We start from the raw sequence: 16,126 nt of genomic DNA, 5'->3' as shown, positions 1-16,126 counted from the left end.
CAATTTGATTTTATCAATCAAATTTAATGAGTTTATTTTCTACTTTATTAACATATATTTTTATTAACTTTATTTAGCCTTTTTACTTTCTTTGGTTTGTTTTGTTACCTTTTCTAGTTTTCTGTGTTGAAGATGAGCTCATTAATTTTCAATATGTCTCTGCTTTCCATTGTATGCACTTAAAGCTATATATTTTCCTCTGAGTACCACTTTGGCCACCTCCCATTGGTTTTGATTTGTGGTGCCTCTATGGCATTTATTTAAAATGGCTTGTAACATCAATTTAGCTATCTTATATGGCAAGCCACTTCAAATTGTTTTTTGGCTCCATTTGGACATTTATGTCTTCCACATATACAGGTTGAGTATCCCTTATCCAAAATGCTTGGGACCAGAGTGTTGCGAATTTTTTTTTTCAGATTTTGGAATATTTGCATATACATAATGGGATATCTTGGGCATGGGACCCAAGTCTCAACATAAAATTCATTTATGTTCCATACACCTTACACACATAGCCTGAAGGTAATTTTATATAATATTTTTAATAATTTTGTGCATGAAACAAAGTTTTGACTGTGACTCATCACATGAGGTCAGGTGTGGGATTTTCCACTTCTGTTATCATGTCAGTGCTAAAAAATTTTTAGATTTTGGGGCATTTTGGATTTCAGATTTTTTGATTAGGGATGCTCAACTTCTACAATAGACAGAATAGTTTAAGTTTCCTACTGTGGTTTTAATTGAGATTTTAAAATTGAGAATTTATAGTTTAATTGGAAAGAATTAATGAGATTACCTAAGAATATAGTATATATCTCTACTTGTTTAGATCTTTTATGTCCATCAGCAAATTTTAGTATTGCTTTTACATAGGTCTTTTGCATCTTATTAAGTTTGTTCTTGCTATTGTGAATGGAGCCTTTCCCCTTTATGTCTTCTAATTGGTTATTAATGATATATAGGATAACTAACAATTTGTACTTGTGACTTTCGTATTTTACTACATTATTAAACTCATCAGAATTAATAGTTATTTGGTTTATTCTCTTGGATTTTCTAGGTAGGCAATCAAATCACCTGCAAACTATTACACAAAATAGGTGTTCAATAAATACTTGTTGAATGTCTATGCTTATCTTCCAGGAAGTGGAGACAATCTTGTACAATTTAGATGTCCTCTAAGAGCCTTGCCCTACAGAAATCTCTTAACACTCTAAATTTTTTCAAAGAAATCTTTGTACCTTTGTGATTTGTTTTACCACATCATATTAGCTATATTCTAGCCTTAAGTAATTTAGAAGAATCAAAATATAAACAATTCACACACAGCATTCTCACAAATATTAGGGCCCCAACAGCAGATACTTGCATATTTCTGAAAGGTCTTCCACATCAAATCTACACTTCAAGAGTGGGAGTGGCACTCTCCTTCCACTTTGCAAAAGGACATTGAGGGAAAATGCCCTGTCTTCCTCTTTAAAAGCACAGACTGACTTCTTGGCTCTACCAGCCCTTGCACACTCAGACTCTTCCTACAGAGAATGAGAAGAGAAAAGAAATGCTGAAGCTTGCCTTGGTGGCAACACCTATGCAGGAGGACTTGAAAGATTCGAGAAAGGCAAACTATCCTCCCAGAAACAAATTTGCTTTTTCTATATTTGCTTTAAGCAATCCAAACTTAAAAAAAGCAATGCGGTCTAGGGAGAAGAAAGGAGGCAGGAAAATGAGCCCTTTGAAAATTCCTCTAGAGAGCCAACAATAGCCTATTAATATTAACACACAGTACCTCTACCCTTGGATGCTTTTGGAAAGCCATGGCTGACTCTCGGGAGCCCAGCAGTGCACGGTTCTTTTGAATGTTAGGAATAAAACCCACAGCCTCTGAGTCAGGCAGAAAAATGCCCATTTTCCTTTGTGCTCACACTTTCAGAGGAAGCTGCCTCGGGCAGAGAAAGGAAGAAGGAAAAGGATGAGAATTCTTAACAATAGGCAGTTCCTTGGCAAGGAACATCCTTTTTTATGAATCTTGCAAAGTGAAGGATGAACAGAAGACAATGAAGTGAAACTCACATCCATCTTGAGAAAGTATATCTTTCTGAGATAGACTCAATTACTGATCCTGCGTGTATGGTGACTTGCAGCTGTTTGTACCTAAAGCAGCACAGTGAAAACAACAAAGAACCTCGGGTCTAAACAGAAAATGACTAGAGGGAAGGAAGACTTCACAAAATTAGAAGAAAGGGAAATAAGTGCCTCAGCTATTCCCTTAGGTACATGAGGCTGCTTACTGGAAATTCAGACTTGGCCTTGGACTTGAAATACTCACCAATAGGCTTCCTGAATGGGACTGGACTTACCAAGCAATGCCATGCTTGGCCCTACTGCTCCATATTGAGTCCCCTGAGCTGTGCTCCTTGTTTGCACATCCTTGTTTGCCATGATCTCCCGTTCCCCATTAACTTGCTAACTTCTGCGAGTCTTCACAGTCAGCTGAGATGCCACTTCCTCCAAGGACCCTAATCTCCCAGCCCCTGTGTCTGTCTCTAGCACAGCACCTATCACAGCAGATTCTAATTGTCTGTTCAGTGGTCTATCTTTTCCCAGTAGACTTCATGTCAGCTGGCATTGAATACTGCTCACCTGACACAGTGCCTGGTATAATACATGGTAAGAACTCAATAAATATTCATTGAATGAATGAATGAGCAAGGTATATAGACCAGCACAGCATTCCCAGGGGCATTAAGTTACCCTCTTGCCCTAGGGCTGCATTTCTGTTTGAAATGAAAACATTTTCAAGGTTAAATATATTCTTGGAGCCACATTTAATTGGCTGGCTTCCCGGACACTAAATCATTTAGTTTCAGGAGGAATAATTTTTTTCCCTTGGCAAACATTTCCTAAAGAAAAGTGGATGAGGCAACTGTCAGAAGAAAATGAAGCATTGCTGTGAAGCTGCAGAGGTGTCTAAATACTGCCAAAGATGTCCCACAGGCTTGCCCACTCAGGGAATATCTATAAATATTTTCTGCAGTTAGCCTATTAAGATAAAATTATCTTGAAAACACTTTCTAAATGTAGGGGTGGGTTGCCCCTACACACCTGTGGGTGTTTCTCGTAAGGTGGGACGAGAGATTTGGAAAAGAAAAAGACACAGAGACAAAGTATAGAGAAAGAAATAAGGGGACCCGGGGAACCAGCGTTCAGCATATGGAGGATCCCGCCAGCCTCTGAGTTCCCTTAGTATTTATTGATCATCCGTGGGTGTTTCTCAAAGAGGGGGATGTGTCAGGGTCACAAGACAATTGTGGGGAGAGGGTCAGCAGACAAACACGTGAACAAAGGTCTTTGCATCACAGACAATGTAAAGGATTAAGTGCTGTGCTTTTAGATATGCATACACATAAACATCTCAATGCTTTACAAAGCAGTATTGCTGCCCACAGGTCCCACCTCCAGCCCTAAGGCGGTTTTTCCCTATCTCAGTAGATGGAGCATACAATCGGGTTTTATACCGAGACATTCCATTGCCCAGGGACAGGCAGGAGACAGATGCCTTCCTCTTGTCTCAACTGCAAGAGGCATTCCTTCCTCTTTTACTAATCCTCCTCAGCACAGACCCTTTACGGGTGTTGGGCTGGGGGACGGTCAGGTCTTTCCCTTCCCACGAGGCCATATTTCAGACTATCACATGGGGAGAAACCTTGGACAATACCTGGCTTTCCTAGGCAGAGGTCCCTGCGGCCTTCCGCAGTTTTTGTGTCCCTGGGTACTTGAGATTAGGGAGTGGTGATGACTCTTAAGGAGCATGCTGCCTTCAAGCATCTGTTTAACAAAGCACATCTTGCACCGCCCTTAATCCATTCAACTCTGAGTTGACACAGCACACGTTTCAGAGAGCACGGGGTTGGGGGTAAGGTTATAGATTAACAGAATCTCAAGGCAGAAGAATTTTTCTTAGTACATAACAAAATGGAGTCTCCTATGTCTACTTCTTTCTACACAGACACAGTAACAATCTGATCTCTCTTGCTTTTCCCCACATCTAAACATTAAGTCACAAGTGTTTGCTAATAATTCGAGGAAGGAAGCCCTTCCTTCCTCTCCTTTCCAATACAATCGGATATGAAGGGTGCCCTTCATTTCACGACTCCATTTGAAATCTTTGCCCTTCCTTTTCACCTCTGATAAGGAAAGGCAAAATAAAATAGTTAAACTTTAGAGTTTGGTTAAAAGAATCTTTCACTCAAGTCAGGGGCTGCCATAATAAACTACCATAGACTGAGTGGCTTAACAACAGAAATTTATTTTTTCACAGTTCTGGAGGCTGGAAGCCTGAGATCAAGGTGTGGACAGTGTTGGCTTCTGACACCTCTGTCCTTGGCTCTGTAGATAGCCACCTTCTCCCTGGGTCTTCACATAGTCCTGTCTCATACATGTCTGTGTCCAAATTTCCTTCTCTTGTGAGGAACCAGTCGTGTTGGATTAGGAGCCACTCTAATGACTTTATTTTAACTTAACTACCTCTTTAAAGACCCTATCTTTAAATACAGTCACATTCTGAGATACCTGGGGTTAGGACTTCAACAGATGAATTTGGGGGGACAGCCCATAACAGCAGGATACAGTTTATTTCCTCAGACATTTCTGGGAAGGAATGGAAGACACAGGATCACAGACTCATGGACAACTTTTTTTCCAGAGTAAAAAGCTATCATCTCTTGAAAACCCAAGAAAAATGAAACCTGTCCATTCAACACTGGATGATCTCTAGTGGGAAGTGCCAAGATGGGAAAAGCAGTGATTTGATTCTTCTTTGGCTTAAATGACCCCACTCCCCATCTGTGTAGAAATGAGATCACTACAGACTTTCTTGGACTTCTATTCTAGTTTCCCCACCTACCTTTTCATTTCCAAGGTGACCAAGGACAAGGGTGGGAGTTGTCAGGGACTGATGAGGGTGGGTCCTTCCTGCCCTTCCCCAGGACTGGGATGCCCTTGTTGTGAGTGCATCACCTTCCTCAGGATTCAGGGCAAGGGCAGGAGGTTGTTCTTCTCTAAGGGAGAGAGAACAGGATGAAAAATGACTTTTGGATGCTGCAAACCACATCTGCCCTGACTTTGATTAAACATGCTGCTGACTGCCTTTAGTAGATAAGCAGTGTTTAATAAGATAGGCTAAACGTGCCATCACTCTTCACCTAGCCATAGAGATTTTTCTAGGCAGATGGGAACGCAGGCTGTCAGGAACATCACTTACCCTCATTTTGGCAACAGCAGGAAGACCTGGAAAGAAGTGTCAGAAGCGCCCGGGACAGGACCCTGCAGTGGACGCCTCTGGTTATTTCTTGTGCCCTGTCTCATTTTCCCCTTATTTTGCTCAGAACATTCTGATTTTCCTTTGGGGAAAATCCCTGATGTTCTTCCTACTGAGAAATTGCTGTGGTTCCTGTCCTTTCCAAAATCAGTAGGGTTATTTATTTCCTCCTAATTACCTTTGATTCTGTGAACTAATATAGCTCCCACCCAGGCTTCTGTCTCCACCTTGACTCATTCCAAAGACCTGTTTGACATCTCCACTTAAATATTTAGCAGGCACCCGAACTCCTAATCTAACCCTTGGTCTCTCTTGCAAACTTGTTCTAGCCACAGCCATCCCCATCAGCAGATGGCAACTCTGTTCTTGCAGTTACTCGGACAGAAACCTTGGAATCACCTGACTCGGGCTTTCACGTTCTACATGCAACCTGCCAGGAAATTCTGTGGACTCTTCCTTCAAAATTGATTCAGGACCCAACTTTTCTCACCTCCCAGCCACCATCACCTCCTGCAGGATTTACCTCCTGGTTCTTCCATCACTTCCTACTGTCTGCTCCCCCCAGAAACAAGAGTGCGTCTTCCAAAACAAAAATCAGAGCATGCCTGCTGGACATGGTGGCTCACACCTGTAATCCCAGCACTTTGGGAGGCCAGGGCAGGCAGATCACTTGAGGTCAGGAGTTGGGGACCAGCATGGGCAATATGGTGAAAGCCCGTCTCTACTAAAAATACAAAAATTAGGCAGGTGTGGTGGTGTGCACCTGTAATGCCAGCTACTCGGGAGGCTGAGGCAGGAGAATAACTTGAGCCTGGGAGGCAGAAGCTGCAGTGAGCTGACATTGCGCCACTGCACTCCAGCGAGCCAAGATCGCGCCACTGCACTCCAGCCTGGGTGACGGAGTGAGACTCGGTCTCAAAAAAGAAAATGAGAGCATGTCAGTCCTCCATTCAGACCCTGCAGGCACCTCATTTGATTCAGAGTAAGACTGAAAGTGCCTGCCACAGCCCTCAGGGGCCCACGTGATATCAGGCCCCTTTCTGCCTCTCTGACCTGGCCTGTTGCCACTCTCCCAGTTCAATCTGCACCAGCACATTGGCCTTCTTACTGCTTCTAGAACACACCAGCATGTGTCTGCCTTCGGGAGCTCTGGCTGACAGCTCTTCACCCAGAGACCCCATGGCTAACCCCTCACCAACTCAGGTCTCCCCTTCCCTGGATGGCTGTCCAACCACTCGGGCACTCCTAATACCTTTGCCCTTGCTCAGCTTTTGTTTTTCTCACATATCCCATAGCTTACAGTAATTCCCCACTTAACACTATCCATAGGTTCTTGGAAACTGCAACTTTTAGGCGAAATGACATATAATGAAACCATTTTTACCATAGGCTAATTGAGATAAACAAGAGTGATGTTCCTACAGCATATTTCTGGTCACAGAAACATCACCAGTCTCCTAAATAAGGACCCAAAACACTTCTGATATTAAACATTGAAATAAATGTGATCTATACATCCATTTAAGAATGATTAACAAAAACAAATACGATCATTATTTACCCAATTTTTAATTTTTGGATTACGGCTGCATATGAGTTGTACATATTTATGGGACACATGATGTTTTGATGCAGGCATGCAATGCCTACTGATCAGATCTGAGTAACTGGAGTATCCATTACCTCAGATATTTACCATTTCTTGGTGTTAGGAATATCCCAAGCCCACTCTTTTAGTTATTTTTAAATATACCATAAATAATTATTAACTATAGTTGCCCTTTTGTACTACCAAATACTAGATCCTATTCATTCTATTTACCCAATTTGTGGTGAATCAGTGAGTCCCAGTGGTCATAGTCATAGTGGGTTAAACCAGGGAATAAACGTTTGCAAAGCAAATGCCTCAGGAGCACCTCCAGCCACCACAAAGTTCACAAATAATCACAAATATGGCAGGCTCACGGAACACATTCATGCCACATCATTTAGTGTCATGCATTTGTGGGATTATCATTGACCTTACACAATTTTTATTTTACAATAATTTGCATTCATTCATTCATTCATTTATTCATTTCCCAACTCACTTATTCCAGTTCAGAGTCGCAGGTGGCCAGAGCTCATCCCAGCAGCTCAGGGCACAAGGCAGGCACCCACTGTGGACAGGACACCATCCCATCGCAGGGCACACTCACCCCCACACACACTCATTTCGACTGGGGCCATTTAGACACGCCAGTGAATCCCATGTGCACAGCTTATGAATGTGGTAGGAAACAGAGTGCCCAGAGAAAACCCATGCAGAAATGGAAAGAATGTGGAAGACTCCACAAAGATAGGGGCCCCGGCCTGGAATTGATTTCTTTTTCTTATCAATGTTATAATGAAACTACATTATCTGAGGACCTGCTGTACTTGCTTTTTCTTTATTGTTTACTGTCTGTCCACCCACACTTCCCCTTCCCCTCCCCCTTGCTGAACAAGAAACCAAGTTCTACATGCACAAGGATCTTTGTTTTGTTCTCTGAAGTATCTCAGCACCTGGAATTGTGCCTGGCACATATTAGGTGCTCAGTAAATGGCTGTTAAATGAAAAAATAATAAAGCCCATATCCTTCCAATGAATCCCTCTTACTCAGTTGAGCTCAAATGTGCTACCATTGCTTGAAAGCAAAGCCCCCAACTGAGAGAGTGCCCTTCTCAGCACACCATGACTACAAAAGAGCCTGCTATACCTTTCTGCACTAAGAAAAGGATCAAAATCAGACAGAAAAAGAAAAAATACAGACTTCCTGATTGTCTATATATAAATTCGGCTGGTCCTTTTGGCTGCCTGTGTTAGTCAGGGTTCCCTAGAGGGACAGAACTAATAGGATATATCCATATATATGTATACATCCATATATACATATATACATATATGTATATACATATGTGTATATGTATATACATATGCCAGTGATGACACATATATACATATCCATATATACATATACATCCATATGTATATGTATGTATATATACACATATATAATCATATATATCCACACACATATATGTGTGTATATATATATGCATATATATCCATATATATCCATATATATCCATATATATCCATATATGTATATATCCATATATATATATCCATATATGTATATATCCATATATATATCCATATATGTATATATCCATATATATATCCATATATGTATATATCCATATATATAAGGGAGTTTATCAAGTATTAACTTACATGATCACAAGGTCCCACAATAGGCCATCTGCAGGCTTGAAGAGCAAGGAGAGCCAGGCAGAGTCCCAAAACTGAAGAACTTGGAGTCTGATGTTCGAGGGCAGGAAGCATCCAGCACGGGAGAAAGATATGGGCTGGAGGCTAAGCCAGTCTCGCCTTTTCACATTTTTCTGCCTGCTTTATATTCGTTGGCAGCTGATTAGATTGTGCCCACCAGATTAAGGGTGGGTCTGCCTTCCCTAGCCCACTGACTCAAATATTAATCTCCTTTGGCAACACCCTCGAAGACACACCCAGAAACAATACTTTGCATCCTTCAATCTGATCAAGTTGTTACTCAGTATTAACCATCATGCAGCCCTTGTGGGTGGAAGTCAGTAGGAAAGTCGCTTGACCCAGGGCCAGGACACCCAGCTGTGCCTGCAGATCCTGCTGCTTCTGGAGGTGTGGCTTTGGGCATCACTAAGCCTCCCTGGACCTCAGTTTCTTCATCTGTAAAGCAGATCTAAAAACCCCTATGCCTCAGGGTTGTTGCGAAGATTAAATGAGATCCTGAGTATCTGGGACTCTGAGGAGAGACCCCACACTCCTTACAGTCAGAGCAGCTCTGCGTTGCAAGGAAGGATTTGGACTCTGGGAGAGGCAAACCAGTTCAAATCCCACCTTCGCCACTTACTGCCATGCAGCCTCGGGCACATCACCTGGCCCCTCTGCGCCTCCATTGCCTGGTCTTTAAAAGGGGGATAATTAGCACAGCCTGTATCCAAGGACAGTCATCGGGATTGCTGAGTCCATGCCTGTGTTTTATCCCAGTGCCTGGCACATGCAAAGTGCCCAATAATAATAATTTGTTGTTGCTATTGCAGGGGCTCAATAAATGTCATTTCCCTCCTCAGGACGAGAGCCTTGGCACCTGAGCCAGATCATTCATTTCTTTTTCTCTTTTGATGCCAGTGATGACACATAACTTGCCCCAACAATGTAGCTCCCCGGGAAGATTTTGATGGGATAACAAAAATGTGTTTCTTGGGCTTTCTACAGCTACAGCCCTATGACTCCTGTCATGGAACTGTCAAAACAAGCTTGAAACATGCATGGGCTTTCTGCCAAGTCCTCTTGGAGAGGGAGAGATGTAGCATGCACTCCTTTCTTTCTCTCTGCACTGTCCCTACTCCCACCCACCCCGATCCTTCTGCAGCAACACACTGTGTCAGCCGTGCTTGAGTGGTTTGGTAAAACAGGGCTCATTTTAGCTCCCTTTGGCAGAACACAGGGTGGTGTGGAGACGGCCGGAGAGTAGAGGCACGTGAAAATGGTTCAGAAATGCCTGGGAGATGCCATCGGTTTGTACCAGGTGCTAGACGCTAGGGTTATGGCTGCTGTGCCCTCGTGGCTGACTTTGAGTCATGGCTTGTGAAACTCTGCATGCTGATCAGGAATCAGAGCAACTAAGGACAGACAAGGACACCCATCTACCTTGAGTCAGGTCCTTCAGAGTGATCTGAGATGCCAAGGGCAGCAGGTGGCTGCCAAACCTTATTGCCAAATTGTCATAGCTCCTTTGTTGTTTCTGGTTTTGATATCAATCTTGTAAAACAGAGACGCTCCTGCTTCCTAAGGTCTTGGAGTCAGGAATTTGTAAAAAACAATTTCACTTCAAGCTTCCACAAACACACTGTTTCCCCTGCCTCTGCTTCCCTGTTGTGACCAGGAAGGCGGTACTATCATACAGTTAACCCTCCACATGAGATAAATAGGAATCTTTTGAAAGCCACTGTATTCCATCCATAAATTATCAGCTGTACAGATGCAGACCTCTGGCTGACACAGAAATCACTCCTCCAAATCCCCACCATGTATAGGCATTTAGAAACAACTCATTGTACTTCACTGGTCCCCTGTTTCCCTTTAGAGAGGTTTATAGTGGTCAAGACTCTTGGGTACAGATGATAGAAACCCACCTGAAATTGACCTAAGCATGAAAGAAGACATACTATTCCCATGATAGAGACACTTGGGGGTAGTTCAGCTTCGGGCACAGCAGGATCCAAATGTCAAAAAAATATTTCCAGCCAGCTGCGGGGGTTCATGCCTATAATTCTAGCACTTTGGGAGACCAAGGTGGAAGGATGGCTTGAGCCATGAGTTTGAGACCAGCCTGGGCAAGATGGCCAGACCCTGTCTCTACAAAAATAAATTAGCCAGTCATGGGTGATGTGTGCCTGTAGTGCCAGCTACTCAGGAGGTGCAGATGGGAGAATGCCTTGAGCCCAGGCATTCCAGGTTGCAGTGAGCTATGATCGCACCACTGTACTCCAGTCTGGGCAACAAAGGGAGACCCCATCTCACTCTGTTGAGCTCGCATTGTCCAGCTATATATATATATATATAGCTGACATATATATATATATATAGCTGACATATATATATATAATAGCTGATATATATATATATAGCTGACATATATATATATAGCTGACATATATATATATAGCTGACATATATATATATAGCTGGACATATATATATATATGTATAGCTGGACATATATATATATGTGTGTATATATAACGATTTTATTACCTACATCTTAACATCTTACCTACATCTTACCAGTTTAGCCTCCCCAGGAGAGTGAGGTTTGCTTTACTAATATTTCCAGCAAAAATCTTAGCAAAGGATGGCCATGTCTCTGAGTGGCCCTACCCGTGTCTCATGCCTATCCAGGACCCAACCTCTGTGGCTAGGGGTATATCCTTACATGATCCCCATGTTAATAGCTGTTATTGACTACTATGTGCCAAGTCTTTAACTATATTATCGCTCATCTCACAACAAAATGAAAGATATCTATTTACTATCCCCATTTTTCAAGTGACGGAACAGGATTAGAGACGTTAAATAACTTGCCCAAGTTCACATCCCCCAAATGGAGAAACTAAAATTTTGGCTCAGTTCTCCAGGACTCCCTATCAGAGTGCCAAAATGGCCCATCTCCCTGCAGCTGCAGAATAAGTGAGCTGTCTCATAAAATGTGCATTCATTCCATAGACATTAATTAGGCACTGCTCTGTGCAGTCACAGGTTATGACTGGAAGATTCCTGGGACATTTCAGCACTCCAGGCACTAGCTTCCTCAAGCCCCATATGGACCCCTTCTGGAAACCCACCTGGTAATAAATAGTAGGACCCTGGTCTCTTGAGAGACACATGGCTCATCTGGTAATTCTGGGTAGTAGAACCTTTCCAAAGAGGAATAAGTCATCATTTGCAACTTCTGCCCTACCTGTTTGACTCACTCTCAAAAAGTCTACCATCTAGGTAAGATAAAAATAAAAAGGGGGTCACAGACCAAGTTTGCTTGGTCCCTATATTTTTTTCTGAATTGGATTTGTTACCAATACTGAAAAGATAGGACTAGTATTTCACATTCAAAGCCATGTTTCCGGTTTCTTCTAAATATATCAAATGTGGCAGCATTGAGGCCAGATTCTTACATGGCAAAGGTCAGTAGGAACTGACAAGATGACTGGCTGCTGCTTTGGGGTGGGGCGTGTGCTCTCCGGTTTGCCCTAGTCCCTTTCATTCCTTATTGCCTTACACCAAGGCTGCCTTACTCATTGACTTTACCTGCTGAGTGAGCAGCACAAATGCAGTGTGAAACAGCACAAAAAAGAGGCGATGAGCATGCAGAGAGAGGAGCAATGAGCTCCCCTGGGTGGAGAAGGGGAAATGAGAAAGAGGCCCCAGCCTTAAAGGAGGAGTAGGGTTTTAAATATCAAAGTTTCTTCACATGTAGGGTGGATTATTATTGGTAGAGTGGAGCACTGTGGGGAAGGGATTTGCCAAGGTGAGCGATAAGCATGGGAAAAGCTACAGGCAGAATGTCCACCTAGTGTTTGGGTAGCCCTGCCCGCAGAGGCAGTATGTCAGGAGGTCACATAATGGAGAACAGGCAAGATAAAAGACCAGCTGGACTGGATTCTGCAGCGGCCTCACCAGCCCACTGGGGCCTCTGAACACGCGCACACACACACACAACCCCAACACACACAGAAGCTCATGGGTCCAGAGGTGCACTAGTGCCCACTGGGCCCTAGGGACCTCCAAGTGGGCCTGGGGCTGGGAAGCTGTGCTCCAGACTCAGGCATACCTCGTGCTCCCCATGAATGTGATTGTATCCTCCACCACCCTGGTGGGCATCTTGACCCATCCTGCAGGGGTCAGGGCCTCTCGCTGCTCCTCCCACCATCTTTAACACCTGCCACCCTGGCTGCTCCTGAGCCAGCCTCCTCTCAGAACAGGGGATTGTCCCCAGCTGATTCTGGGTCCCAGAGTTCTGTGTTGCCCTCCTTGGGCTGGGGCCAGTAAGGTACACGAAGGGAGGGCAGGGAAGAAACAACCATGTGCCCAGCACATCTGGTGCTTCCTCCAGCCCCACTTTGAAGGTTGACATCCCTATCCTGACTCTCCAAGGAAGAGCCTGAAGCTCACAGAGGTTGATGACTGACTGCAGACAAGGCCTCTCAGCATCCATCTCATCCTTTGTAGCATAAGGATCATGTACAAGTCTCCCAAGTTTTTTGTGAAATTTAGAAATAGTGTGTAAAGTGCTGGCCTGGTGCCTTGTATGCATTCATTAGTTAAAAATAATTAGTGAGCATCTATTATACCCCAGGCATAGTGCTTGGCACTAAGTTACAACACTCAACAAGGCAGACTGTAGAGAGTTACAGTCAGGGGTGTGTGTGTGTGTCTGTGTTGAAATTCTGTGTGTGTGTATGTTGGGGTTGTGTGTGTGTGTTGGATGTGTGTGTGCTGGGTATGTGTGTGCTGGGTGTGTGTGTGTTGGAATTCTGTTGGAGGTGTGCATGTGTGTTGTGTGTGTGTGCTGGGTATGTGTGTGTTGAGATTGTGCTGGGCTTGTTTGTGTGTATGTTGGGATTCTGTGTGGTGTATGTGGTGTGTGTTGGGATGTGTATGTGTGTTATGGTTGTGTGTGTGTGTGTTGGGTATGTGTGTGGTGTGTGTATGTTGGGTTTGTGTTGAGGTTGTGTGTGTTTTGGGATGTGTGTGTCAAGATTGCGTGTGTTGGGGTTGTGTGTGTGCTGGATGTATGTGTGTGCTGGAGGTGTGTGTGTGTTGGAGTTGTGTGTATGTGTTGGGGCTGTGCGTGTGTGTGCACTGGAGGCATGTGTACGTTAAGGTGGTGTGTGTGTGCTGAGTGTGTGTGTGTTGGGATTCTGTGTGTGTGTGTTGGGGGGTGCATGTGTATTGGGGTTGTGTGTGTGTGCATTGGAGGGGTGTGTGCGTTGGGGTGGTGTGTGTGCGTTGGAGGTGTGTGTGTTGGGATTGTGTGCGTTGGAGGTGCATGTGTTGGGGTTGTGTGTGTGTGTTGGGGTTGTGCATGTGTGCACTGGAGGTGCGTGTGTTGGGGTTGTGTGTGTGCGCATTGGAGGTGTGTGTGTGTTGGGGTTGTGTGTGTGCGTTGGAGGTGTGTGCGTTGGAGTTGTGTGTGTGTGCATTGGAGGTGTGTGTGTGTTGGGGTTGTGTGTGTGCGTTGGAGGTGTGTGTCAGGGTTGTGTTTGTGCGCGTTGGAGGTGTGTGTGTTGGAGTTGTTTATGCGGGTTGGAGGTGTGTGTGCGTTGGAGGTGCGTGTGTTGGGGTTGTGTGTGTGCACGTTGGAGGTGTGTGTTGGGGTTGTGTGTGTTGTGTTTGTGTATGTGCGTTGGAGGTGTGTGTGTGTGTTGGAGGTGTGTGTTGGGTTGTGTGTGTGTTGGGGTTGTGTGTGTGTCTTGGAGGTGTGTGTGCTGGGGTTGTGTGTGTGTGTGCGTTTGTGTGCTGGGGTTGGGGAAGTGAAGAGAATAAGTGACCATATACCACACAATGGAAAGGTGGCCGCGGTGTTTTCGGAAGGATGGCAGCATGTCCCAGGGATAATACTGGATTTGGGAGTTCCGGGAGGATGTGCCATCTCCATGTGTTTACAAAACAAATTCAGTGTGGCTGCACGAACAACGTGCCTTGGGGACAGGAGAGAAAGGAGGACAAAGAATAGCGTGGGCTTAGATGGGGCCAGGTCAGGCGGGACCTCACCCACCGCGTGAAGGGGTTTGTTTTTCATTCCGAGGGCCCTGGGCAGCTGTGAGGGGGAGGAAATGAAGAGAGACAGGAGGTTCCATGCAGTAACCTCCCAGCTGGTCCTTTGGCCCGCCACAGTTTCTCTCAACTCTGTAGGCAAAGCAATCCTGTTAAAACGTCCATCGGATCACACCGCGCCTCTGCTCAGCACCCTTCAATGGCTCCCTGTTTACCTCTGCATAAAAGCCGAAGTTTTCACAAGGCCCTGAGTGACCCGGCCATTACCTCCCTGCTCATTTTAGGCAACCCCACTCACCACCCCACTAAATGAGATGACCCCAGCCACAGTGGCCTGGCTGTTCCTGGAATGACAGGCTTCCCGCTTAGGGCTGAGATGGAACAGGGACCCCTCTTAGGGCCTGCTGCACCCCTCACCCCCACCCTCACTGCCCAAGTATGAAAATAAAGGAAAAATATTTAGTTCTTTCACGGGAGAGTCCAGGCACCCAGCTAGCCTTGAGGAGTAAAGGAGCCACCTGAGAAGTGAGGAGAAATGCAGATAGATCCCCACCAAATGGATCCGCTGGCACACAGACCTCAGACCAGGGGAAACCAAGACAAAGCTCTGACCACCTGATCTTTGTTCTCAATTTCTTCCTGAGGGGCCTGGAGGAAGTCACGCCCACGGGTCAGATCTTACCATTCCTTTCTGCCGACCCCAAGATTTTAGAAAAAACTTCGCTTCCTTAACCAATCACAAATCAGAGTCTGAACCCACCTATGACCTTTTAGCCCCATGACTTCAGATATCCCACCTTTTTAGGCCACACCAATGTGTAACCCCCATGTGCTGATTTATGATTTTACCTGTAACTTCTGCTTTCCTGAAATTTTTCCCTGCCTGAAAAAACCCTTGCATGCAAGCCATCAGGGAGGTCAGGTCTTAAGTGTGAGCTGCCTGATTATCCTTGCTTGGCGTCTTGCAAATGAATGCCCCTCTTTCTCTCACTGCAAACCCTGAGTGTGGACGTTTGGCTTTACTGCACCAGGTAGGAAGACTCCATTCAGCTCCACCCTGGCTGAGCCTCTAGAAGGAATGCTCTCTCTTCTTCCCTCATCACCTTTACATCTTTGCTCAGATTTTACCTTCCCAGGGAGACTTACGATGACCACCTACTTTTTACTCAAAATTGCTCCCCACGGTACTCCTAATCTCCCCCTTTTTTGTATCTTGCTTTGCTTTTTCTATAACCCTTATCTCCTAACATATTGTCCATGCCCTCTAGCCAAAACCCACCAGGAACACATACGCAGCTGGGTTGTTTTTTTTGGGGGGGGGGGTTGGGGGGGTGGAGAGGACAGGGTCTCACTGTTGCAGTGAAGGAGATCACATACCAGGGGACCTGAGGCTGCCTCCCTCATTGCAGTCATTGCAGCGTGCAGCGGCACCTGTGCTCCTGGTGGCCCTT

General features: G+C 44.8%; 2 long non-coding RNA genes across 2 annotated transcripts in view, besides 1 other annotated feature; one reads left to right on the top strand and one right to left on the bottom strand.

Moving 5' to 3' along the window:
• Positions 1-9,925, bottom strand: part of LINC02133 (long intergenic non-protein coding RNA 2133) — a 49,851-nt gene extending 39,926 nt beyond the window's left edge. The window contains exons 1-2 of the long non-coding RNA NR_110650.1: positions 8,577-9,925; positions 4,907-5,060 (exon numbers count right to left, since the gene is read on the bottom strand). This is a non-coding gene — a long non-coding RNA (long intergenic non-protein coding RNA 2133). The remainder of the gene's footprint in view (positions 1-4,906; positions 5,061-8,576) is intronic.
• The window catches only part of LINC02192 (long intergenic non-protein coding RNA 2192), a 37,817-nt gene that overhangs the window by 18,625 nt on the left and 3,066 nt on the right, over positions 1-16,126 (top strand). The window lies entirely within an intron of this gene.
• Positions 3,038-3,998: an enhancer, noted in NCBI's record as "OCT4-NANOG-H3K27ac hESC enhancer chr16:47898419-47899379 (GRCh37/hg19 assembly coordinates)". NCBI's record gives its function as "activates a minimal SCP1, AML or CMV promoter by ChIP-STARR-seq in primed H9 embryonic stem cells {active_cell/tissue: H9 hESC(primed)}" and the evidence as "EXISTENCE:reporter gene assay evidence [ECO:0000049][PMID:30033119]".

Source organism: Homo sapiens, chromosome 16, assembly GCF_000001405.40.
Source record: "Homo sapiens chromosome 16, GRCh38.p14 Primary Assembly".
Classification (NCBI taxonomy): domain Eukaryota; kingdom Metazoa; phylum Chordata; class Mammalia; order Primates; family Hominidae; genus Homo; species Homo sapiens.
This window is presented reverse-complemented; position numbering and strand designations above follow the sequence as displayed.